Below are 25,587 nucleotides of genomic sequence, written 5' to 3' on the forward strand. Positions count from 1 at the left end.
CCAGGAGGTAATGACCTCCAGCGTCTGTGTCCCAGTGGTCCCCAAAGAGCCGCAGGAGCTGTAGACAGTAATGAGAAGAGCAAGAAGCCAAGGAGAGGGCCATGGGGCGAGGGCGATGGGGAGAGGACAAAGGGGAGAGGGAGATGGGGAGAGGGAGAAGAGGGGAGGGTAATGGGGAGAGGGAGAAGAGGGGAGGGTGATGGGGAGAGGGAGAAGGGGAGAGGGTGATGGGGAGAAGGTGATAGTGAGAGGGCACTGGAGAGAGGGAGGAAGGATGCTTCCTGGCATTTCCTGAGGAGGTCAGGGACTCCGAGCTCTCCCCAAACATTCCCTGTCTCTTTCCCTCATTCATAGCCCTGGAGACACGAATGTCTCTCAAACAGTCGGGAAAGGAATAATTGCTGTAGACTCAGTAGAAAAGGAAAAAAACTAGAAAACTAGAAGAAGTGAACAAAGGAAGGAGATAGAGGTGAGAGAGAGGGAGTTTCTTCCATGAGAACCATAGCCATGGCGGCTCGGTCACTTGGCGTCAGAAGGTAGCACAGCAGCCTGGGGCAGAGGAGCCACCAGCTCCTTTATGGAACATGGAAGGCTTTATGACCTTAAAGGTTAGAGAGGGGCTGCCAAAGGGCACCCTGAAGGGAGATTTAGGGCCAAGGATGGAGGGAAGTCTGAGATCAGCCTGGCACAAATCTGCCTGGTCCCAGTGCTTCTTCAGTTGAGCTCTGGGCCTTGCGTCCAGTCACGCTTTGCAGGGAGGGGCAGCAGAAGTCACTGTGCCCCAACTGGCCAAGTGACTTCTGCCGCCCCTCCCTGCAAAGCAAAGAGTGTCTGACATCTCTCAGAAGCCTGGCCATATCCAGATATCTGAGGCCTGACAATAGGATGCAGACTAGGCCTTGGATTAGGGGTAAGGCTGTGGTCCCTGCTCCTCTGCTGACTCGCTGAATGACCTTGAAAAAGTCAAGTTATCTCTTGGTCTCAGATTCCCCAAGTGCAAAATAAAAGGGGGCCAATATTCAGAATCAGAGATGTAAATGGATGTGAATGGGCTTTGTATGGAAAAAGAAACTAAGCCTGTGGAGAGGGTTATTACCACTTCTGAGGCTGAGGCAGGACAGAGATGCTGTTAAGCTGTGGGTGCAGGAGCTGCCTAGGAGGGAGCTCAATCCCTCCCTCCCCGCGGCCTCCCTCAGTCCTGATTGACAGGACTGATGCTGACGCCCAGGCCCAGTAGTAATGGCGTTGAGGTCTGCAGTCCCCTTCCTCTGGTGCCCACCCCCAGAGGACAAGGAAGTGTGAATTATCTTAAAGAAGGCTCATGGGTTTTTGTTTTGTTTTTGTTTTTTTTTGAGATAGAGTTTTGCTCTGTCACCCAGGCTAGAGTGCAGTGGTGCGATCTCAGCTCACTGCAACCTCCGTCTCCAGGGTTCAAGTGATTCTCCTGCCTCAGCCTCTTGAGTAGCTGGGATTACAGGCATGCGCCAACATGCCTGGCTAATTTTTGTGTTTTTAGTAGAGACGGGGTTTCACCATGTTGGCCAGGCTGGTCTCAAACTCCTGACCTCATGATCCACCCGCCTCAGCCTCCCAAAGTGCTAGGATTACAGGCGTGAGCCACAGTGCCTGGCCAGGAAGCCTCATGTTGGTATGGATGGGAAAGGTGTGTGTATTTTGGGTGGTGGAAGTGGGAGGATGGTGAGGGCAGGTGGGAGAGGGGAGATCTTAGCAACAGCCTCAACCTGTCTGTCTTTCTGTTTCTATTTGGAGGCTCCTGCTTCCACTTCCAGTAGGTTTCACTAACTCCTCTTGCCTGAAGTTGTCACCAGGGTTGAGTGTGTGTTTTTGAGTGTGTGTTTGGCACACAGAGGGCAGAAGATACATGTTTCTTAGTCTCACAACTCATGGCAAGGATATTGGAGAAGTAAGAGATGATGTGACAAGGGGAGGGGTTGGAACTAGCCTGGGGGCTGGCTTTGTAGGTGAGGACTCCCAGTTCCGCTGTCTCTAGTCCTGGAACTTTGTGGTAGAGGTTACGGGGTCACAGCAATTCTGTTCATCTGGTGGGCCCCAGGCAGGGTTCCAGCTGCCCCCTTTCCCAGCAAGAAACCCACTGACCTGCCAGAGTTGGTTGGTCCACATGAATTTCCTGCAAGCTCCTAGCACCCTGGGCTGGCCTGGCCTGTGCTAGAACCTGAGGATGAAGAGGAGTGAGGGTAATGGACCAGGGAGAAGTTAAGAGTAAACTGCCTGGGAAGCTCAGGTGGTCTCTCTACATGAGCAGTGAAAGGGATTATTCCAGGGGGAAGGGATAGGCCCTCAGTGCTCTCAATGCCTCAGCAATGTTTTGGGCCCATCCTCATCCCCAATTCTCCTACAAACACACATACCACCCCCAGAGAACCCCTGGCTCCCCTGCACCATAAAGCGACCCCCCTTCACCTGCGACCACTCACAGAAGCCGCCCTCCCTACCCCAGGTGAAAGTGGCCCCTCGGCCAACCCTCAAAGCCCCCTGCGTGTCCTCCCTGTCCTTGCCATCCCACCTTTCTTCATTGCGTCCCCCCATGTGCCAGCCTGACTCCTCCCAACACCACCCCAAATGCCGGGGCACGTCGAATTGTCTTTCTTTCGCCCGATACATAAATGGCCTTATTTTCTGAGCCCGAAAAGGGGACCCATGGTTTGACCATGGGCAGAATATTGGATGGGTACTAGCCAAGGCCTGTTACATGGGGAACACATCCCACAGTCAACAAACACCCGCTCTGAGCAGAGGCTCCTGGCAAGCCCAGCTCACCTCCGGGAAAGAAAGGCGAGTTTTAAACCATGGTCACCTTAGTCAAAGCACAGCCCAAGCCCCTTTATTGGTTGTGAGTTGGAAAGGGTCTGCCGGGGGTACAGAGTGTCCCCAGAGGGGCTGTGGCTGTGAATGCAAGGGATCGCTCTATGGGCTCCTTGGGATGCTGTGCTCAAAGTGATTCTTGGGTAGGGAGCCCTCGGGATCCCAGAGGTTTGTGGTCAGGAAGACTCTCAGATGTCATGGATTCGGAGTCGCGCTGCAGAGGGAAGTTCTGCCATTGAAAAACCAGCCGCATCTCAGATCCCTTCAGAAGAGATGGATTTTCTTCCAGGAGGGTTCCCCCTGCCATGCCATCCATGGCAGCATCCCTAACCGCTCTTTGGGAGGCCTAAGGAGGTAAGAGCCCTCTCTCCCAGCCTCTGTCCTCCCAGCCCTGGAGTCCTTGGGCCCCTTCTATCTGACTCAATCCCAGTGTTGTTTGTCCAGCTGCCCATATTCACCTGGGCATCCCAGCTGCAGGCCCCTGCCCCCTTGTTCCAGCTGTGTCCCACATGGAGAAGGTCCATGTGGACACCAGACAGCCCCCTGGAGTGCAGAGCCCGAGCTGTCACATTGCATTTCCCAGATTTCCTGGAGGTGGTTGGCCTAAAGTGCTAAGTCTCTACAGCCTCCCTCACCTTGTCCTGGCCACACTACACTCTACCTCTCCATTCAGTCAGGTCAAATCTTTAGCAAATCAAAAGAAATTAAATCCCCAGTGGCAGCTCCAGAACCTCCACTGGGTCTAGAACCATTTGGCATCCCTGATGAGGACTCTGGGGTTTTGGGTAAAAGCGTTGGGCTTAGAGTAAGAGGACTTGGTTGAATCTACTACTTTTCATCTTGGACAAGACATCTCATTTTTTTCAAAGCCTCAGTTTCCTCATATGTAAAATGAAGCTGTATGTAAAACAGGGCTAATTTCAGCTTAACTTATATGAAGCCTTCCATACTGTGCCTGGCACACAAGAGAGCCCAGTCTTCTCTCTCCCTTCAGAGCTGTTTATGCAGGCTCCAGTCACAGCTATTCCCGGATCCCTCACTAACCCACCCTGCTGATTCTCTGGCTTCCTGTTAATAACAACAGCAACTCCTTGTGGGGAGTCTATGGTTGGCTCAGTACTGTGCTATCCTTGCATTTGCTCAGTGTTGAAGAACTTGGGATGAGTGAGGTACCCAGCGTTCAACGTGAATTAAAGGCAGAGGGAGAAGGCCAAGCCAGAGCTCTGGGGCATCAGATGGTCCCTTCCAGCCCACGGCCCCAAAGTGAGTTTGTCGGCTACTCAGCTCTGATGTTCTTGGGAGAAAGCCCAGCCCCGGGATGCCTCCTTCCCCAGCCAACCCCAAAGCCTGAGATGAAGAGCAATGGTTTATTGAGTCATGTGGTAATGGCAGGTTGTCTTTAAAAAAAGAAAGAAGCATCAAGGAGAGAAGCCCCACAGGGCAAAGAGAGACATTTCACTCAGAGGCCAAAGTCTGGGGGTTAGAAAGAAGGAAGCTTGACCCAAACAAAGTTTCATTTACAGTATATACAGTCAGGCCTTGGGGGCAGGAGCTGCTGGGGAGCAGAGAGGGACCCTCTATCGCTGGCTTCAGGGGGTGCCTTGGGTCCCTTCAGTAGCTGGTGGGCGTGAGCTGCAGGAAGCACATTTGGCTTGGCAGGAGCTGTCAGGAAGGGGAAGCGGGTTTCCTGCGATTCTGCCTTGTTCTGCCCTGGGTGAAGCCGCACACCACACCTCACCTCCCAGGGGCCCAGGCCCTGTGGAATGTCTGTTTTAAGCTCCCTGGGGCTGGCCTGGCTGACGGCAGCTGCCAAGGGGATGCCGCACTGCAGGAGGACCTGGGGTGGTGCTATACCTTCACAGCAGCAGGCAAAAGAGGTCAGCTGACAGCCTGGTGGAATTTCTGAGGGACTCGCTCCAGCCCTCAGCCCATGCCCAAGAGGGAGGTGTAGAAAGAGCCAAGCAAATGGAGTGGAGAAAGAGGACAGCCAGAGCCTCCGTGTGGGGCAGGCGGGAGGCTGAGGGAGGTGACTCCCTGGGTGGCTGGTGAGGAGAGCCTCGGCACCAGGCTGTGACTTGTGGGCTGGAGGGAAGTGCTTATGGTCCATAATTGCTAGAGTTGTGTTAATAATGGAGCCATGGAGGTGCCCTGTGCACCCCTTGGGCCCGGGCAGGAACCATTCGCCATCCCCCCAAGTTCCTCGGCTATTGCTTCTTCTCTCCTTTGGTGGGTACCGGCTGGGGGCTACATTTCTTCTTCAATTTTGTCTTTTTCAGCATGGCATGGTTCTCTTTCCCTGGGACTCCTGCCCCTCATTAAGGAGTCTTGGAGGACAGTTTGGCCTTGTCCAAGGTCATCCTGTCTTTCATGGTTCATTAAATTAACCACACAGGGAGTGTGCCGCAATGCTGGACTTGTGGTTATTTTTCATGTAATAAATAAAGATTCCTTTGTGTGACTCTCTGGGGCCTGTCCCAGGCTGAGTCCTCCTGTTGCTCAGTCGCTCCCACTGTCCCCATGGCAACTACAGATGGTCAAAGGCCGTGGCAGTGGTGGGCGGTGCACTCGGCCTTGATGTGGAACTGTAATAATATGGGGAACCTGGACACATTAAAAAAAAATAACAACAACACTGCTGGTCAGAAAGGAAAATTGCACCATAGCCTTCCCTGCATCTGCTGACCTTTAAGACAACACAAGTTAATCATTCATTTCTCTGGCCTATCTGATCATCGAAGATTAACTCCTCTCCAGCCCTATTTCCTCCTTCTCTGGCCTCACCTTTGAGTTTCTGGCCAGAATGAGAACAGTGGCTTCTTGCCCCTTCCCCCTATGGCTGCTTTGACCTTCAACACCCTCGTTGCAATAGGGAGAGGGCAATAGAAAACAATTGCATGTGGAACCCCAAAGAATCAAGTGCACTGAGAGGTCATTGGGATCCTCCCTAGCCTTGCCCAAACAGTGCCAGGACAGAGAGTCTTCTTTCTTAAGACCCAGGGAGATTAGACTGCTGAGGGGTCAAAGGGGATCTGGGCTTGACGGCCCTTAAGGTGAGGCTCTGCACACCTGCAGGATGGGCAGCCTGGGGAGGCTCAGTGGGAAGGTGCCTGAACCCTGGCATGTCTCATTGCCCTCGTCTTTTCTGGCTAAATTGAATGGAAAGCTGGGTTGGAGTTGAACTCATCTGGCAAACAGGGCCCAGGTCTGCCACCTTTCAAGTTATTTCTGGAATACAAAGAGGTAATGGGAGGAGAGGGGGTCTTGGGGAATGGATGGTTCCTAGCCTGCAATGGTGCCTGTGGGGTTGGCCATCCTTGGATCACTGCTTCTGTCTGGCTCCGGTTTGCTCTGATACACCCAAGGCCACCACTCAGGGAGGCTCTAGTGGGATCCCTCAAGTCCCCCCATTGGTGGGGTTTTGCTTTGCTGAAAAGCTTCTCTTCCCAGTTCAGGACCCCAGGACAAGAGAGGGGTGAAGAGAAGCCTGGAAGCTCGCTGAAGCTCACTCTCTGGACCTCGACCCTGAATACTGTCTTCATCTCAGGCTAAATATGGGGAATGTGGTGGAACAAAAGATTTCTGTTTAAGGGTTTGGTGCTGAATCATGAGTATTTCTGAGCCACTTAGATGGTTAATGGGGGCAACAGGATGGCATTCTTGAAACTGGCTCCCAGGAAGGAGGGCAGTTACATTCTGGCGGGTGCCCTGCGTCAGTGTCTGCACTGTGGGACTGTAAGCCGTGGAGGCAGGAGGTCCTCTCTTAGGCTTTTCTCAAGTCCTCCCTTGTCCTCCCCTTCAAGGCCTGAGCCCTGAATCTTACACAAAACAAAGATTTAAAAGACATGGGCTTGAGAAGCAGGAGGGAAACGAATGCCTGGAAGCCTCTGGACTTCTGCCCTCTTTCCCCAAACAACCAGGTACACTGCCCTCCTGCTGCCTTCTTCCATCACAAACAGCACCATCTCCCAGGCCCTCTGTATAATCTGAGGACTCCCAGCTTTCAGGTAACCTTTGACCCACCCTTGCCCCCCACCACTCCATCCATCCTGCCCAGCAGAGGCCTGGGCAGCCCCAGGGACTTACTCAGCAAGCTGGAGTTGGGGAAGCGCCAGGCCTCGCTGTAGGAGGAGTAGGGGGTGTGGCCATAGGCATTGCCAGAGTATTCACTTCCTGTTGGAGGCACACAGGGGAGAGGCCTGTGAGGTGAAGGGCATCAATGCAGGGCTGGGGTGTGGGAAGGTCTGCAGGGCTGGCAATGGGCAAGCTCAGGAATGGTTGGGGAGACAGTTGGAGCCACGGCAGGGACAATGGAGCTCAGAAGGTCCCTCTGTCATCCCTTTTGGAACCCATCGATCTGGAAAATTTGGGGCAGTGTCCTTTTCCGTAGGTACTGGAGGCACTGGCTTGACATACTACAGCCCTCCCAGGAGGCCCAGAAGGTAGATGTTATAACTACCCCCATTTTCCAGATGAAGAAACTGAGCCTCTGGGATCTGCGGAAGCTCCCAGAGCTGGAGGGTTTGGTGGAGCTGGGAAACTGTGCTGTGAGTGTAGGGCCCAGGGACTAACTGCTCCTTCTGCTGCCTGGACCTTCTGGAGAAGGGCTCTTCTGGGAGGGCCCCACAGCAGGGGTATGGGGTTAGGGGCCAAAGAGGACATCCATATATATGAACCTTTTAGCCTCGCTAGGTATGAGTGTGTGTGTTTGTGTGCATGGGGGGCTGAGGGGAGGTGTGAGGGTTAAGGATGGGAGAGGAGGGAGAGCCCCAGAGGGCACACACCCTCAGGAAGCTGTGTCCTGGGACTTGGAGTAGTTTGTTGTTCCATCCTGAGTCTGCCGCTTTAAGCAAACTCAACGTATAAATTTACACAAAGTAAATCAGATCACCTCCTTCTGTTAATGGATTCTTGAGTTTTCCAAAGGAATTATTTACCGAAGAAATTACTTAAGAATTCCCTTACATAACAAAAACAAAGTCAAACTGATCACCACAGCTACTACCGGTGCTTGGTAAAGAGCTTAAAGTTTGTAAAGCACTTTCCCATACATTATGATCTTTTATTCTCAAGACTACCCCATGAGGTACTCATGGATACTACCAATTTATAGAAAAGGAAACTGGAGTGCAGCATGATTAAGCAGTTTGCCTCAAATCACACTGTTGTTAAATGTCAGAGTAGAACTCGACCTTAGGGCTCTTGACTCCAAATTGCAGATAATCCCTTTATTCACTTATGCGATAATTCCATTTACAAAGCTAGATTCCTGCCAACCCTGAGACTCAATGAATGTCCACCCAGCCTTTCAGAAACTCACCTACGATTGGGAGCTATGTGGTTCTGAGTCTCCTTCCCCAGACTCTTTGGAGGGGTTGCTCGAAACTCCCTGACTCTGGAGCTGACCTGTCTAGAGTCAAATCCTTACTTCCCATTTCCTGGTTATGTAAACTTGGACAAGTCACTTAGCCTCTCTGAGTGAGTGACTTACAGGTGAACCTTGGTTTCCTTATCTGTAAAATGGGCCAAATAATTATCCCTATCTCATTTGGTTTAATGAGAATTAAATGACAAAATATGTATTAAATGCTTAGCACCATGCTTCAAATATACAGGGAGTGCTCAATAAATCTAAGCTTTTATTATTTTCCCATTAAACAGGTGCGAAAATAAAGCTCAATGGAGGCTTAAATCAGTCATCCAACCAGTCTTAAGGCCTGGGTTGGGGTTAGTGGGAGCTGCTTTATTGCCAGACAAGTAGGCATTTATACAGGAAGAAGAGAGATGAAGAGGAGCAGCCTAAAGCAGAGAAAGGCTACTGGATCCTCTCCTTGTCTAGGAAGTCAATGACGGACTGAGAACACAGTAAGAAAGTTCCTTAGGGGCAGAGACTAAGTCTAACGTAAATCAAGCAAAAAACATGGGTAAAAAAAGGAAGGGGGTAAAGAAGTAAAAAAGCAAAGAAAAAAAAACCTAAGAAATAATCTAATCGAAACATCTATTTAACAGATGAAAAACTAAGAAATAATCTACTCTAAACATCTGTTTAACAGATAACACAGCTGTGACATAGGGAAGTAAAGACATTTGGCCAAGGTCACATATTCAGTGAAAGCCAGAACTAGAACCCTGGCCCCGTCCTTCCACAATGGCACTCTCTCTTGCATCTCCCAGTGCCAACTGCCTCCTGTTTAACTCAGGTCTCCCGGGTTTCAGCCGATTCTCTACTGGCCACACAGCAAGGGCCCTCTCACCTTTTACCACACCCTACCCAATGGCAAACACAGTGAGCTCTAGAGGACAAGGGAGAGAGGTGGAAAACATGATGTGTTTACCCTCTCATTTTGTCACTCATTCATGCATTCACTCACTCACCCACTTATTTATGTATTTAACTACCATTTACCGAGTACCTCAGTCACATGGAACCTGGGGCAGGGGATGGAGCTCGGTAGGTGGTACACACCTGGGTGTGGCATCTTCCCGTCATCAGATGTGCCTACCTGCTTGCAGTCACAGCAGATGAAACGTCTCTGCCCCGATGAAAGGCCAACCCTGCCTCTTTGCTCTGCATCCCACCCTACTCACCTTTCCAAGGATTTGGCCGCTCCAATGATCCCGTTTTCTGTTTCATCAGTCTCTCCCTTCACCCTGCAAACATATTCTGCTATCTTCTGTCTTTAAAAAATCCTCTTCCTATCCCCACATTCCTCTCTAGCTACCAGTGCCTTTCTCTGCCCCATGGTCTCTGCCTTCACCTTCTTATCCCTTCCTATCAGGCCAACTCTGATCCCCTCAAGTCCCCACAGTCTCTAACTCCATCATACCAATGGTCACTTCTATATCCTCAATTCCCTTGACCTTTTAGCTCATCCCTGTCTCATGCCTTTGGGTTTGTGATGCCCAGTCTTCTGTTTGCTTTGTAACTCAGTTGTCTTTCCTACTCATTCTCCTTGCTGTTCCTTCTCTGTTAGAGCTCTAAATTGTTGAAGAACCCCAGGCTTGGTTTCTAGTAGTCTTGTCATTAAATGACAGCTTTGTGCAATGGCTGAAATTTATACTCTAGTCAGGATTCTTTCCTGGCTTCAGACACACATGATGTACCTGCTGACTTATTAAAACTGGACATTTAGTAGGCATCTCAATCATAACACGGCCCAAAAAACTCTTGATTTCCACTTGCCATCTACTACATCACTTCCCCTCCTGGTCTGCCATATATATACTTGCCACCATCATCCATGCCCCAAACCTACAAATGATTCTTGTTTCCTCTATTTTCTCATCCCAACAGCCAATCTACCAGCAAGGTTTGCTGGCTTTGCAACCAAAATATATTTTCAGGGTCTCTTTTTCCCTCCTTCACTGCTAATTCCCTAACTCAAGCCACTGTCATCTCTTGCAAGAACTACTGCAACTGTCCCCTAACTGGTCTTTGTGCTTTCTCTCTTGACTATGTACAATTCATTTTCCTAGAAATCAGAGTAGCCTTTTAAAACTCGACCCAGCCACTACAATTTTGTGCTACCATGCTAAACTAGTTCCTGCCTTAGGTCCTTTGCCCTTGCTGTTCTTTGGTCCAGGGATGGTCTGCCCCAGTTTATCACTTGAATGGTCACTTTGAACACCTTCTCAGAGAGGCCTCCCCTGACAGCCCAATCTAAAGTAGTTATCTCCTCTCCCTGTGGCTCTTTATTACATCATCCCATTTTATTGTCTTCACAGACAATAAATTATTATGTTCATTCATTGACTTATTTATTGTCCATTTGTCTTCACCATTAGGTTATAAGCTCCAGGAATAAAGGAATCTGACTTATTCACTGCTGTATCCCCAGCATCCTATACAGTAGACCTTCAACCAGTATTTGTTAAGTGAAAAAGTGGTAAATGGATGGAAGGATGGAAGGATGAATGAAAGTGTGAATGATGGAAGGATTGATGATGAAAGGATGGATGGGTGAAAAGATGGATGGAAAGATGGACAGATAAAAGGATGTATATATAGAAAGATGTATAGATTAATGGAGGAATAGATTGAAAAGGGGATGAAAAGATGGATATAGGAGAGGAGGGATGGGTGGAAGAATGGATGATGAAAGGATAGATGGAAAGACAGATTAAAGGATAGTTCTATGAAAAGATGAATGGACGAATGAATATGGATGGAAAAATAAAAGGATTGATGGAAAGATGGATGGATGGAAAGATGGATGATAGATAACTGAAAAGACAGATGAATTAAAAGATGGATGGAGGGACCAGGCACAGTGACTCACACCTGTAATCCCAACACTTTGGGAGGCCAAGGCGGGCAGATTGCCTGAGGCCAGGAGTTCGAGACCAGCCTGGCCAACATGGTGAAACTCCGTCTCTACCAAAAATATAAAAATTAGCCAGGTGTGGTGGTGGGTCCCTGTAGTGACAGCTAGTGGGGAGGCTGAGGCAGGAGAATCACTTGAACCCGGGAGGCAGAGGTTGCAGTGAGCTAAGATCACACCACTACACTCCAGCCTGGGCAACAGAGCAAGACTCCGTCTCCAAAAAAAAAAAAAAAAAAGGAAAGATGGATGGAAAGATGGAAGGATCGGTGGAAAGGTGGAGGATGACGGGATGGATGATGAAAGATAGAAGGATAGATGGGAAAATGCATGGATGCGTGGAAAAATGTATGGGAAGATGAATGAGTGGAAAGATAGATGACTGGATGGATCCATGTGTCTGGAGCTGCTGGTTCTGCTCTAGAACTGGTTGAGAATCATTGACTGTTAATGGAGTCAAAACAAAAAATAAAATAAAATAAAATAAAATAAAAAAATAAAATAAAATAAAATATAAAATAAAATAAAATAAAATAAAATAAAATAAAATAAAATAAAATAGAAACAGAAGGTGAATAGACAAGGGAAATCTGTCCTAGCCCTTTTCCTGTGCTCCTCTCTTGCAGCTTGTGTCTTTATTTCTGGTATGGTAGGAGGCAGTATGGTGTAGAGGAAAGAGCTTTAGACTTGAAATTGAAAAATCCGTGTTTGCATAACTCAGCCACTTAGTATGATTATGACCCTGAGCACACCACTTTGCTTTTGCTTCAGTTTCCTTATCCATAAAACTGGGATAGTATTAGCCTCTTAGTCTTATGGTCAGGGTAAAATTAGAAATAAAGTTATACATATTTGAATGGCTAGACATGCAAAAGTACATAATAAGTGATCACTTCCTTCCTTTCACAATTGATTGATGAATGTCTTTGGCATGCCTTGCTTTAAGCATTTATCATGTACCTAACATGAATGCAGTAGGTGTTCGATGAAAGTTTATTCACTTTAATTGCAGGAGTCCCCATTCAACCAACTGGGAGATTGCAAGCAGTGGTAAGAGACGGACATAGAATTTTTCCACAAAAAAATTTCCTTAAGAATTCATTTGCACAGTGCCATTCCTAGGAACCAAGTGATTCATTTAAATAGTATTGCATTTTCTAAAACTGATTTTCATGGAACTCACTGGGAGCCCAACTGTGTAGGGCAAGGTCCCTCCTTTGTGGATTTCACTTGCAGTCAGTGTCCTAGTTGTGCTATTTTTTTTCTTTTTCACAGAACCCACTCAGGATTCTTTCTGGAAACAACCTGGGGGACTTTGATGAGAGGCTCAAGCCTTCTAGCTACCTCACAGGTCAGACTCTGGGCCCCAGGAACCCCTTGCCCTGGGCCTGCCCTCAGGGAATGATTCATAATTAAGAGAAAAGCCTTGTGCTTTATGTTTCTTCCTCCTCCTCTAAGCAGGCGGCAGGGGAAGGTGGAGGGGTTGGAAGGGGAATGGGGGGAACCGACTGGAGACTGGGATTTTGATTGAGAGGCCCCATTATCCACACTCTTAAAAAAATAACCGAATCTTTTCCTTTTTTATCTTGACCAATCTCATTTCACGCTCCAGAAGAGGAAGGGAGGGAGGGAGGGAGTCCGGGGCCAGGAGGGACAGAGGAGTCAGTATTCTGTATTTTCAACGCTGCATTAAGCACATCGCCACGGTAACCAGGCAGCAACAAGTGCCAGCTCAGCAGGTTCCCAGGGAGCACAGAGCATTTCTCCCTCCCTCTTTCTCTCCCTCCCTTCCCTCTGCCCAGGAGATCCCAGCCCACCTGCCTCTGCATAGGGTGCCCAGAGTGGGTGGCTGGCAAAGATTAACTCCTGCCGGCAAGGAAGGGAAGCAGGCCTAGGTAAATACGCCAAGTCTCTGGGGTCACAGCCAGAGAGGCTGGCCTAGGGCTGGCATGGGGGTCACAGATGCCTTGTGTTCAGAGCTCTTTCCAGAAACTCCAGGTCCCAGGCCTTTTTGACCAGTGACAATGGCTCAATTATGTCTCATCCATCCCAAAGTCTTCCCTACATGGCTCCTAAAAAATTGAGACTTGCCCAAGGAAACTCCCATTATCTTCATTTGTCCAGACCTTGTCATCTTGAATCATCATTGGATGATGACTGGCAGACAAAGAAACCCAAATGACTGGCAGGCAGGTTCCAGAACAGTCCAAATGAGGATGGAGAGCTACTCCAGGCTCATTTCATCCTCTATAGTACTCTTAGAGTACCTAGAACCCGGGTCCTATCCATGCAGGCTTGAGAGAGAGATGTGAAGCATATATTTCATCATCATCATCGTCATCGTCATCATCATCATCATCATCATCAATACCCTTCAGATTCAGATTTTACAGAACGGGTAAACTGGGATTCATCAGAGTTAAATCACTGGGAGACCAGCACTGCTTGAGGGTAGGGTTCATCTTCCACTCACAGTGTTTTGGGGCCCTTAGAGTGCTCTCCATTTATGCTCACTGATTCACTGGAAGAAGTGGTGGAGCTTGGATTTGAACACAGACCTGTCTCAGCCCCTCCCTTTTCATCATGGAGGGTAATGTAGCAGGCCTGGGAAGAAGGAGGCCGAGCTGGGGCAAGTTAAATAGGGAGTCAGGACTGCACTGGGACATCGTCTCCAGGCATTTACAAGGAGATGCCCTCTTTGGTCCATCCTTCAATGCCCTTTGGGAAGTCTATGAATAGGGCACAGTATGCCTCTTGCTCCTTGTGTCCCACCTTGCTCCAATACTTCCTCTTTGCAGTGCTCCCCTTCCTGCCGGCCCTCTCCTTACCTGCCACCATGCCTGCGATGGCAGAGGAGGCATAGCTGCCCTGTCCGCTGGTGGGGATGTGGGGTGGGTATCCGGGCAGCGTGGGCCCCACCATCTCTCGCCCTGGAAAAATACAGCAAAGAGTCGTCAGTTGGACCATGGGGGCTCCCATATGTATCATCTCACTCTCCTGAGGCTGTCTTCCTCCATGCCATTCCCACCCTCTCTACAGCCATTCTCCAAACCCACTTCCTCCTGCCCCCACTCCTCATCTGAGCCCAAGTTCTTTTCACCTCTGTCTGGTCTTCTGCAGGACAGAGGCTCCACCATGCAGGGAGCACTTGTTACTGCAGTCTCACACTGTTCCCTGTTCTCCAGTGGTTTTGTTTACGTGATTGTTATCTTATTAATCCACAAGAATGTCCTGGTATTGGAGGCTGAGGTTATGTCTTCTGTTTTCTGTTACCCCCAACAGCAGCCAGCAGAGCAGTGGGTATAGCTGGCCTCCATAAATACATTTGAGACCACTTAACTCAGAGCTCATCCCTTTCATTCCCGGCTCTGAGGAGTACCAAGAATAAGACCCTATGAAGGGATGGCATGTATGTGGGCCACTAACTCATCACTATTTTTTGGGGGGCCTGTGACAGACATTGCTAATCAACCACTATACCATTTCCCCCTGAGTAGAGGGGGCCTTCCAAGTGGATGCAATCTATCAGAGTTGCCAGGTACAGGAAACCGATTGGCTAACCCCAACCTAGAAGGAGATGTGGCGGAGATATTTAGCTTTTACATGACCACAAGCCACATATCTGTCCATTCTATTTTGAAAAGAACCATTTTTAGCAAAACAGACACCAATCTCTCTGTTTATCTATAGCTTGTGGGTCATACCCCCACCTTGGTGATACCAAATCAGCTCTGTAAAGACCTCATTTCCCGGCTCTGCTTCTCCTCTACATCGAGAAATCACTTTCCCATTTTGGAGGCCCCACCTGACCTGGCGAGCATCTCCCCATCTACTGCATATAACAATGAACATAAACATGATCCCTTGCCCCTGCCCCTCTTCTATTGCTCCTGTGTCCTGCAGGCCCCAATCAGATTCTCCTTCACCCCAAGATTCTTGGCAAGGTGACAATACACCCTGGTTTGCCAAGGTGTACCCAGGTGATGACCAGTATCCCAGCATATTTGTTAATAATGCCCATTTCATTCTCAAAATGCTCCAGTTGGAATAATGAGTTATTTGCTCTTCCTAGTTCTTGGTGATATTTACAGAGTTTCTCAGTCTCAGCAACATTGGCATGTTAGGCTGCACAATTCTTTGCTGCAGGAGGCTGTCCTGTGCATTGTAGGATGTTTAGCAGCATTTCTGGCCTCCATCCAGTAGATACCAGCAGCAGTTTTCACCCAGTGTGACAACAAAAATGCCTCCAGACATTGCCATATGTCCTCAGCAGGAGGTAGTAAGGGCAAAATCGCTGCTGGCTAAGAACCATTGTGTTGGACTATGACTCTTTTACCCAAATGCCTTCTGCCTCTTCCATTTTGGGGGCTGCTTTTTCCTCCCAGGACCTGTGTGGGCCACCTGTGAGCCCTGTTAACCAACTTACCAAATTCATCTCCTCTATGGCACTGCTTGTCCAACTATCCACCCATCAGTCCCCCCCAGGTCCTTCATACCTCAGCCCCTTCAAGGGGTGCCTGGTCATGACAGAAGGGAAGGAAGGCCCCATGAAAGCCTGTAAGTTGCCAATACTGCAGTGACTACCTCCTCCTTATCTCTCTTTCTGGAGATTCCCCAAAGACAGTGTTCATTCACTAAATACTTACTGAGTAAATACTATATTCTAGACACTTTTCTAAGCACTTGGGTATATAGCAGAAAGCCAGGATGCTAAATTAGCAAGGCCGGGCACTAAATCAAGAAGGGACATAGGCTGGGATAGGCATTTGGAGCCAAGCCCAAGGGGTCAATGAACAAAAACCAGGCACACACAACTTCTTCCCTTCCTCTAGAGGGCAGGGCCTGGGAATCAGAGGGCCTGGAGTCCTTATACTGCTTCTGTGGCTAGTTTTCTGAGTGCCCTTAGATAAGCCTAGTATGTGCCCCAAGGGTCAGTTTCTTCATATGCAAAATGGAAAAAAAAACATAGCTGTAGGCACCTTATTACAATTTCTATGAGGTTATCTGCATAATTCAGAGCCAGGGTTTCATGCTACAGGTGGACATTGATTAGCACAATGGACACATTCTAGAAATGGTTATATGCCAGTGAACTCCTACAGAATAAAGAGCCATCAGTGTTCATTGTTTAAAACCGTGTGAATGTTTTGGTAAACCTGAACACCACCTTCTAATTTGTTTGACTTTTCCTGCAGTGTCCAGCTGTGCTTGGCACTGGACCAAATGGGGTGAAACCCACTAGAATTCTACAGGTGTGTTCAGTTTACCTGACACAAGGTCATCAAGGGAACAAATGAAGGGCTGGAAACACAGGAGGGGAAAAGAGAATTTTAAGATATTTAGACGCAGAGGGAGAAATATGCAGAAGCTATACTGAGATAAAATCTGAGCTTTCTTTGAAGAAGAATACAACACAATCGACCCTCAAACTCAGCCCCCTTGGCCCTCAGATGAAGCACCGGCTAGGCAAGAGGGAAGGAGTGACAGGAAGTCTGTGAGAGCAGGAGGAGCACAGAGCAGGGACAGGTGGTGAGGGAGGGAGTGATGGAAGAAGGTGGTGGCGGATTCAGGCCTGCTTCCTTCTTTTCTCTTCCCTCCCTACCTCTTCCTCCATGAGAGAGAGAGAAAGGGAACTCCAGATCCAGGCTGGACCCTGGATGAAAGACAGCCACTTAATTCTCTGAACCACGTCTTCCTGCCTGTCACATAAGGAACTAGTTTAGATTTCAGCTTGTAAACTGGATTCACCTGACTACCTGATTGGCTGGTAGGGACCTCCTGGCACCCAGTGTTGAGAAGGATTCTGAGGCAGCCTGTGTCTGCCATGATCGGGGTGGGGAGCAGTGGGAGGTGGTCTTGACTCTCAGGTCACCTGTTTGCTGGTGCTGGCCTTGTGCCCTGCAGGGCTGCTTCTGGCCTGGCAGCCTGTGGCCCCGCACTCCCCTTCCCCCTGCCTTCATCCTGTTCCTTCTCGTTCTATTACCTGAACCTGCTGCCTCTCGAGCCTGGCAGAGTAGCAGGCAGAGTTCCAGGGCATATACTCCCCTTACAACACAGCTTAATATGGTCCAGAGGTGCCCCCACGGGGCTCCACCGCATGAGAACTAGCCCCTACATTGATCTTATAAATGGAATTCATCAGTCTCACTCCCCTGTACTCTACGATTTTTAATCTTCATCTCCCCTCAGTCACCTAATGTCTTCCCAATGGGGTAGAGGCTTCTGAATCGGACATCAGAACAGACGCCTGAGGCTTCCTGCCATGAAAGCTGGTCTTCCTGGAAAGACTGGTAAGACTTTCTTCAGCATGGCTCTCACCCAGACTATGGCACAATAAACTCTCCCAACAGCCCTACAAAACTCTTTGCTCCAATTGCTTAAATGCATAGTTTCTTCCAAAAAGCCAAGAAGCTTGCAAGCCTTCTTAGAAACAAAACCACAGAAGCTGTGGGGTGGAAACTCCATCACGGCCTAACCATGCCCTCTTACCTACTTCTCTGTTTTTAAGACTCTTCATCATAAAACGATCCTCGCTATGAATTCCATCTCCTCTACACCCAAATTTCTTTCCAACGTGGTCCTATTTTAGGAAGTTGACAGAAAGCATAGGCCCATGTTGACTGGCCGTGGAGTTCTCTAAGAAAACTCTAGCTCCCCCTACACCTTGAAATATTGGTAAATATTCTAAATATTGGTAGAGGCCAGAATCATAAAGCTATTGCCTGGAGGAATTCAGAGGGTAGAGGTGATTTCAGACTATTTTATTTTCCCCCTTTGAAGTCTGCCCTCCATGTAACCCCTTTTCAATTCCTTATCTCGTTCTGATAGCAAGGAGAATTTATGGCAACTCAGAAATCTCTTTGGCAGAACTAAATATAATTTTGTACAAAAGGATGGAGGAGGGGAATGGACTCTTTGATGATAAAACCTAACTCATGGCTTTCCTTTGAGCTGAGCTGGAGGCAGTCCCAGAGCAGCTGGGACCAGGACGGCCTCGACATTGCTGTCTTGGCCAGTGTGTTGGGACTCCAGACTGGGGCTTCCAAAGGGAACTGGCAGCAATGTTAGGGGCACTCTTGCTATTCCCCAAACCTTGCTGTTTCTTCTTTCTTGGCTGACTGGGGATGAGCTGAGACTCAGAAGGATAGTCACCTTGGAAATCACACTATCAGAGCCACCAGGCGGAAATAAGTGACCCAGAGAAAAACGCTATGAAGTAGTGAAGGAGTTGCAGGAGGCGGCAGCGAGGGTCCTTGGGAGTCACTCAGAGGCATGTGGAAGATTCACGCGGGTTAAAGCTGAGCTGATTATGGAATGAAAACTCACTGTGTCCTCTCTCCTCTCTCCTGGTCTGCAGCATTACTTAGGAATAATGTGGCCTCAACTTCCTTCTCTTTCTTTATTATTTTTTTCTTTTTTGAGATGGAGTTTCGCTCTTGTTGCCCAGGCTGGAGTGCAATGGCACGATCTCGGCTCACCGCAACCTCCGCCTCCTGGGTTTAAGCAATTCTCCTGCCTCAGCCTCCCGAGTAGCTGGGATTACAGGCATGTGCCACCACGCCTGGCTAATTTTGTATTTTTAGTAGAGATGGGGTTTCTCCATGTTGGTCAGGCTGGTCTCGAACTCCCGACCTCAGGTGATCCACCCACCTTGGCCTCCCAAAGTGCTGGGATTACAGGTGTGAGCCATTGGGCCCAGGTTCCTTCTCTTTCTTTCAAATTCACCTCTTCTTGGGAAGGTCTGCAGCCTCCTGCGCTCCTGGAACCATTCCCTTCCTAACCTTCCCCACCGCCCCCCGTCATGTCCTCCCAGCTCTCTCACCATGGCTCAGCCACGTGTTAGGTATTGAGATCCAGTCTTGACCAGAGGCCTCAGGTGGACAGTCTGTAAGGAGCTCCAGGCCAACACCCTGAGCTCAGCATGGACACCAGCCATCCCCTCCCTTGTGCCTGAGCTGCTTTCTGACTTGCTTCCTACTCTTGGCCATTTGCCTGGACCCCAGATCCTCCAAGGCTAGCACTCCTCACTCTTTTCAGAGCCTCTGCCTCTGTGCTGAATTGTCAACCCTTGGGCTAGGGGGCCCTGTGACCAGCCAGCAACCTTCAAAGTGCTCACACCTGCACTTCAGCATCATCTGGGCCTGGATTGGGGGCCACCAGCCTGAAAGATATGCCGGTGCTGCATATTTGGCTGCCTGCTTCCTACATGACTACCTGGTGTCTGCTGCCAGCTGTTTTGTCCCATGGGTTGGGTGACCTCTCAGTCCTGCAGTTGGCCTGGAGAGTGGGCATGTCCACTAAATTAACAGCTGACAGTAGTTGGAGGCGTCACCTCTGATTGACTGCATGTTGACAGGGGATGCTAACAGGATGACAGGGAGGGGACAAAGTGTAGGGGCTTTGGGAGTAGGGAGTTTGCCCTGGGCTGTTCCAGTTGCACTTTACACTACAGCCTATGTCTGCACTCTGATACATCTATCCACTTCCAGCTGCCCTACATCCTTCCCTCTCCTTCAGCTGGTCTTGCCAAGCTTCTCCGCGGCTTCCACAGCACCTGCTCCCCATCATCATGGGCACCACCACACCCTCACCCCTTGCCTGCCCCATGACCGCCGCCAGCTCTAGCCTGCCATTCTCAGAAGACATGCAGGCTTGCGTAACTCCCTGTAACTGACATGAACCTCTTCTCCTCACCCCCTCCCCTCCCCTCCCCTCCCCTCCCTTCCCTTCCCCTCCCTTCCTCTCCACTATCCTCTCATTCCCCTCCCTACCCCGCATCCCATTTTCTCTGGCTGACATAATTTTACTCAGCTCACAGGTTTTGCTCTTTTCATCACTTTGGTCAAAACAAATGACCCATCTCTGCTGCCTTCACCCTCTTGAATTCTTGAACTCCAAGTCAACTCCTCGCTTTAGACCCTTAAACACCATCTCTCTGCCCACACACTGGATGTCCCTCTCTTCTAAGGAAACTTCTCACATTAGGTGCTGGGATGTACGGAGGAAAAAAAAAAAAAAACCCGGGTGCCAGCCAGAAAGAAAATGTAGAGCCAGTTATAAAAAAGGGTCCATGGGCTGGGTGCAGTGGCTCACACCTGTAACCCCAGCACTTTGGGAGGCCAAGGTGGGCGGACCAAGGTCAGGAGATTGAGACCATTCTGGCTAACATGGTGAAACCCCATCTCTACTGAAAATACAAAAATTAGCCGGGTGTAGTGGCGCCCATTTGTAGTTCTAGCTACTCGGGAGGCTGAGGCAGGAGAATCACTTGAACCCAGGAGGTGGAGGTTGCAGTGAGCTGAGATCGCGCCACTGCACTCCAACCTGGGCAACAGAGTGAGATTCCATCTCAAAAAACAAAAAAACAAAAAAAAAAGGGTCCAGGGACTTTTATCACATGACCCTGTGGTTACTCTGGGCTTGTAGAGGTCTTAATCCTCTGGTGCAGTGGTTTCGAAGTCCAAGGGCTTTCTAGGGGCAGGGACCCCTTCTAAAAGAGCAGTTCTTCAGGGGTCTGGTGAGCATACATGTCTTCTGTAAAAGGCTTCATTTCAAGAGAGCATTGAGAGGCCCAAATTTGAAACCACTGGTCCAGATGGACTGTCTGACTCTGGGCTGCCTCTGTGACAGGTCTCACACACCCCACCCACGCACTGGTCTCTGCTCCAGCATTTCAAGGTCGTCGGGGTAGGAGGGTGTGGGAGGTGAAGAGGCATTTACTTCTGTCACTAAATACCCACACTCCTTGGAGACAGTGCCGCTATTAAAGAGATTCCTCCAATGCTGAACTGAGAGCTAGCTGGCTTCCTTCCCTGGTCCTGGGCCCCCACTGGGCCCACATCTAAAATAGTCCTATCCCTGTGGAAGCCCTTGAGGTATCTGAAGACCATATGGGTCTCTGCTTCCCACTTTCACTGCATCTCAGGCCCTCTCCAACCCAAGCCAAGCGCTTGACTCTCAGCCATTCCTCAGGCCCTGGCTGGATGAGCGAAGGTCCTTCTGCCAGGAGGAGCCAGCTCCCCTTGAGGTCTGACTCATGCAGTGCAGGCCCAGGCCTCAACCAGCTACAGATGGTGCTCCTGCCCAGAGACCTTGGCAGGGACCTTCTCCTCCCTGGGCCAGGTTCCTCATCAGCATAAGAGGTTTGATCTAGAGGCTCCCTCAGGTGCTTCCAGATTTACTTATTTTTATTTATTTGTTTTTTTCTTTTTTGAGATGGAGTCTTGCTCTGTCACCCAGGCTGGAGTGCCATGGCGCCACCTCAGCTCACTGCAACCTATGCCTCCTGGGTTCAAGCGATTCTCCTGCCTCGGCCTCCCCAGTAGCTGGGATTACAGGTGTCTGCCACCACACCCCCTAATTTTTTGAATTTTAGTAGAGATGGGGTTTCATCATCTTGGCCAGGCTGGTCTTGAACTCTTGACCTTGTGATCCACCTGCCTCGGCCTCCCAAACTGCTGGAATTACAGGGGTGAGCCACCTCGCCCGGTCGGTGCTTCCAGCTTTAAATATTTTGAGGCAGTTGAGGTTCCTGATGGGAGGTCCCCCACTCCTCTCAAGTTGTTGAATCACTGAATTTATCATGTTTAACAGATGTCTGACTGTCCTCCCGGTGATGCTGTTAAGCTAGGAATGAAGATAGCTGCATCATGGAAACACAACTGGGACTGACCCTTGGCCTTTTTAGAAATTTGATCCAGAAATGGGCTCCAAAAGCCAATTCCTTTTTCCCTCCAAAATGTTCATTTTTCCTTCTATCTATTTATGCATTTACCAAGGCCAAGTTGCTACGTTACAGCACCCGGCTCCCGGCCTTAGGGTTCCTGCTTTTCCATGGGGTCTTGGGGTGGTGCATCCCCGGCACCCCTACAGCATCCGCCCCTTCCGAGCATGTCTTCCCCGTCACAGAGAACTTCATGTTGGCGCCTCCAAAAGTTGCCGGAGGAATTAGGGAACAGGGTGGGGGTGGATGAGACTGAGGCCAGAGAGGGGGCTGGCGGTCTGCCCTGAGGACCCCCGTCCCACCCGCCGCCATAGCTGCATGGCCCCGGGACCTCCCTGTCGTACCTGAGAGGAGGGCCTGGCCCGTGAACTGCCCGTACACGGAGGCAGCATGGGGAAAGGCATTGAAGGGCGGGACCCCGGAGCCGACTTGCTGCAGATCCAAAAAGGCGGAGCTAGATAAAGAGGAAGGGGTGGAGCTAGAACTGGACACCTCGGGGGTTTCCTGCTTTATGGCGAAGGGTGAGTGAGGATCTGCCGGAGGGAGGGAGACAACAAGGAGAGAGGGGTGTGAGATGGCGGGGAGGGAACACGCACAAGCCAAGCCGTGGGATGTGGAGGGTGCGGGCGGGGCGCGGGGCAGGCTCAGCTGCCCTCAGAGTCTGGGCTGGGGAGAGCCGGGGCCCACGAGGCGTGGCAAGGCGGGGAGAGAGAAGCTAGACCTCCCTGCTGCGCTTCTGCAGCGAAAATGGAGAGACCCGGAAGGCGTGTGTGCGCCCGCCTCTCCCACAGGAGGGAGCGCGGAGACCCGGGAGCGGCCTAGGACCGGAGGCGCGACCCCTCGGCCCACCTTGAGGCCCGGCCTAGGACCGGAGGCGCGACCCCTGGGCCCACCTTGAGGCCCGGCCTAGGACTGGAGGCGCGACCCCTCGGCCCACCTTGCGGGAGCCGCCTAGGACCGGAGGCGCGACCCCTCGGCCCAGCTTGAGGCCCGGCCTAGGACCGGAGGCGCGACCCCTCGGCCCACCTTGCGGGAGCCGCCTAGGACCGGAGGCGCGACCCCTCGGCCCACCTTGAGGCCCGGCCTAGGACCGGAGGCGCGACCCCTGGGCCCACCTTGAGGCCCGGCCTAGGACTGGAGGCGCGACCCCTCGGCCCACCTTACGGGAGCCGCCTAGGGCCGGAGGCGCGACCCCTCGGCCCAGCTTGAGGCCCGGCCTAGGACCGGAGGCGCGACCCCTCGGCCCACCTTGAGGCCCGGCCTAGGACTGGAGGCGCGACCCCTCGGCCCACCTTGAGGCCCGGCCTAGGACCGGAGGCGCGACCCCTGGGCCCACCTTGAGGCCCGGCCTAGGACTGGAGGCGCGACCCCTCGGCCCACCTTGAGGCCCGGCCTAGGACCGGAGGCGCGACCCCTGGGCCCACCTGGCGGCCCGGCCGGCACAGCCCGCCTCTCCTCTCCAGGCCAGGGCCCCACACCTTCCGCCTGACAGCCAGCCAAGCTCTTCAGTCCCCCGCCCTCCACCTGCCAGGGAGGCTCCGGGCGTTGTACCTGCCACCACGGGGTAGGTCTGGTGAGTCGAGAGGTTGCGCCCCAGTGGCGTGTTGGAAGGGGTCAGGGTGGCCTTCCCGTCGTCCAGGGTGCTGTTGAGCAAGGGCAGCGGGTAGAGGCCCTGGGGAGCAAAGAGAAGTCAGCGCACAGAGACGATCCAACAAGCCGACCTTCCTGCAGACCCTGAGCCTGTGTCTTAGGACTTGGCAGCCCTCATCTCCCCAGGAGAGGTCCTCATCGCCCCCTTCTTCCTTTACGTTCTCAACTCCACTCGGCACGTTTCGTTCATGCTCATTGTCCTCCCGCATCCCTGGAATTCAAGGCCAGCTGGTAGCATGGGTGCCCAGACGTGGGATAGAGAGTCTCAGCCAGAGGACCACACCCTGGTTGGATGGCTGGTCGGCTTCCTGGTTTCACCACACTGTTGGGACCCACAGAATGCAGGACGGTGCCAAGGACTGGAGCAGTCTCCAACCGGACTGTTCAGGGTCCTTGCATCTGTTAATTTATTCTTCCCCAGATAGGAAACCCAGGCACAAAGGTTTAAGAAACTTGTCCCACTTCCAGATGGGCCAAAGATAGGATTCAGATTCGAGGGATCAGAATGTGTCTGCTCTCAACCACTGCCCTAAACTGGGTGACATAAGGACCACTTCTTACATTTGCAAAGAGCTTATATCAGAGCTTTGCCTCTGTTGTCCTAGTAGAGTCCCCCAGCAGCCCAGTGACATGGGTGAGTAATATTATGTCTGTGTTTTATATGTGGAGCCTGGAACTCAGGTAAATGGCCCAATTTTGTATAGTGAAACAGACTAAACCCGGGATTTTTCGGCTGTGGACCCAGGTGCTTTACCCACCACGTGGATTTCTTCTTTTCTCTCTCCACATCCAAACAAATAGAAGTGTGCAAGTTCGGCTTGAAAATGGTATTGAGAGTTGTTTTTGTTGGAAACACTCTTTGTCAAGTACCTGGGGGTCTTCATCAGTAAGACCTCATTTTAGATGCCTCCTGGCCTCCCCTTCCCAGGAGCACAGCTATGACCTTAGGTACTCCTTCCGAAAAGAACTTGTTTAACTAAAGGTAAGTGTACCTCATCCTCACCATGGCCTCCTTCCACTGGGGAAGCAGATAGCGCAGAAAAAAGAACACACCCATTCCCCACATACCTTCACACTCGTCACATACCTGCTACGTGAGATGTGCAAAGCTGAATTCAGGGAATGCTCAGTAGTTACATAACAGTGCCACTAAAGGCAATTGTTTTCAGTGATTTCCATCGAGCTGGGTTCTGCAAAGATCCACAGCACTTTCCGGTTGCATGCTGGGCACTTTTGGAAGCTGCAGTCAATTCTGGAGGCCACCAGGGCACCATTAGCACATAGCAGCAATTATTGACTAAATGGTGCTCTGGTTCCATGCCTTCCAAGGGGGCCCACTTAGAGGCAGGGTGGAGTTGCTTAGGGCCTTTTTTTTTTTTTTTTTTTGTAGACGGAGTTTTGCTCTTGTTGCCCAAGCTGGAGTGCAATGGTGCGATCTTCGCTTACTGCAACCTCTGCTTCCTGGGTTCAAGTGATTCCCCTGCCTCAGCCTCCCGAGTAGCAGGGATTACAGGTGCGTGCTACCATGCCAGGCTAATTTTTTGTATCTTTAGTAGAGACAGGAGTTTCACCATGTTGGCCAGGCTAGTCTTAAACTCCTGACCTCATGATCTGCCTGGCTTGACCTCCCAAAGTGTTGGGATTACAGGCATGAGCCGTTGCACCTGGCCAGGGTGTGTCTTATTGAAATTGAACAAAATACCTAATTTCTAGAGCGTATAAGAGAAGTTTAAAATGCTTTATGGATGTGTTGTTTTGACAGCAAAATATCTACTCAGAATCCTATAGCTATTTCAAAATCCAAGTAACTTAGAAAAAAAGGAAAAAGAAAACCTATATAGTCAAATCTTTTGGTGATTTTGTATTCAATGACTGAAACTTCCCAGTGATTATTGGGCTTTTTAGCTGGAATTGAACTTGAATCGGGGCAGAGCAGCACAATGCTTCAGAACTTCAGCGACTCTGAGCCCTGGTTCTGCAATGACCTGCCAAGTAGCTTTAGTCTACTTGACTGCTCTGAACCTTAATTTTCTCACCTGTATGGGAATCATA

The 25,587-nt window shown here is 50.5% G+C and overlaps 1 protein-coding gene and 1 long non-coding RNA gene across 6 annotated transcripts in view, besides 2 other annotated features; one reads left to right on the top strand and one right to left on the bottom strand.

The window, feature by feature from the left end:
- The window catches only part of PAX8 (paired box 8), a 62,925-nt gene continuing 40,170 nt past the window's right edge, over positions 2,833-25,587 (bottom strand). Inside the window, exons 8-12 of one of the 4 annotated variants that reach the window (NM_013952.4) lie at positions 23,437-23,557; positions 22,230-22,339; positions 13,991-14,092; positions 6,928-7,014; positions 2,833-5,445 (exon numbers count right to left, since the gene is read on the bottom strand). In NM_013952.4, coding sequence (NP_039246.1) covers positions 6,928-7,014; positions 13,991-14,092; positions 22,230-22,339; positions 23,437-23,557 — 420 coding nt within the window. In that variant the 3' untranslated portion in view covers positions 2,833-5,445. Of the gene's footprint in view, positions 5,446-6,927; positions 7,015-13,990; positions 14,093-22,229; positions 22,419-23,436; positions 23,558-25,587 lie in introns of all 4 variants that reach the window. The other 3 variants (NM_003466.4, NM_013953.4, NM_013992.4) reach the window with 3 other exon arrangements.
- Positions 22,002-22,191: an enhancer, noted in NCBI's record as "active region_16418". NCBI's record gives its function as "activates an Ori minimal core promoter by ATAC-STARR-seq in GM12878 lymphoblastoid cells {active_cell/tissue: GM12878}" and the evidence as "EXISTENCE:reporter gene assay evidence [ECO:0000049][PMID:35858748]".
- The window catches only part of PAX8-AS1 (PAX8 antisense RNA 1), a 31,497-nt gene continuing 28,272 nt past the window's right edge, over positions 22,363-25,587 (top strand). Inside the window, 2 exon segments of one of the 2 annotated variants that reach the window (NR_047570.1) lie at positions 22,363-22,406; positions 24,926-25,048. This is a non-coding gene — a long non-coding RNA (PAX8 antisense RNA 1). 2 annotated transcript variants of the gene reach the window in all.
- Positions 22,442-22,521: a silencer, noted in NCBI's record as "silent region_11881". NCBI's record gives its function as "represses an Ori minimal core promoter by ATAC-STARR-seq in GM12878 lymphoblastoid cells {active_cell/tissue: GM12878}" and the evidence as "EXISTENCE:reporter gene assay evidence [ECO:0000049][PMID:35858748]".

The sequence above is a fragment of the Homo sapiens genome, chromosome 2 (assembly GCF_000001405.40).
Source record: "Homo sapiens chromosome 2, GRCh38.p14 Primary Assembly".
Lineage (NCBI taxonomy): Eukaryota > Metazoa > Chordata > Mammalia > Primates > Hominidae > Homo > Homo sapiens.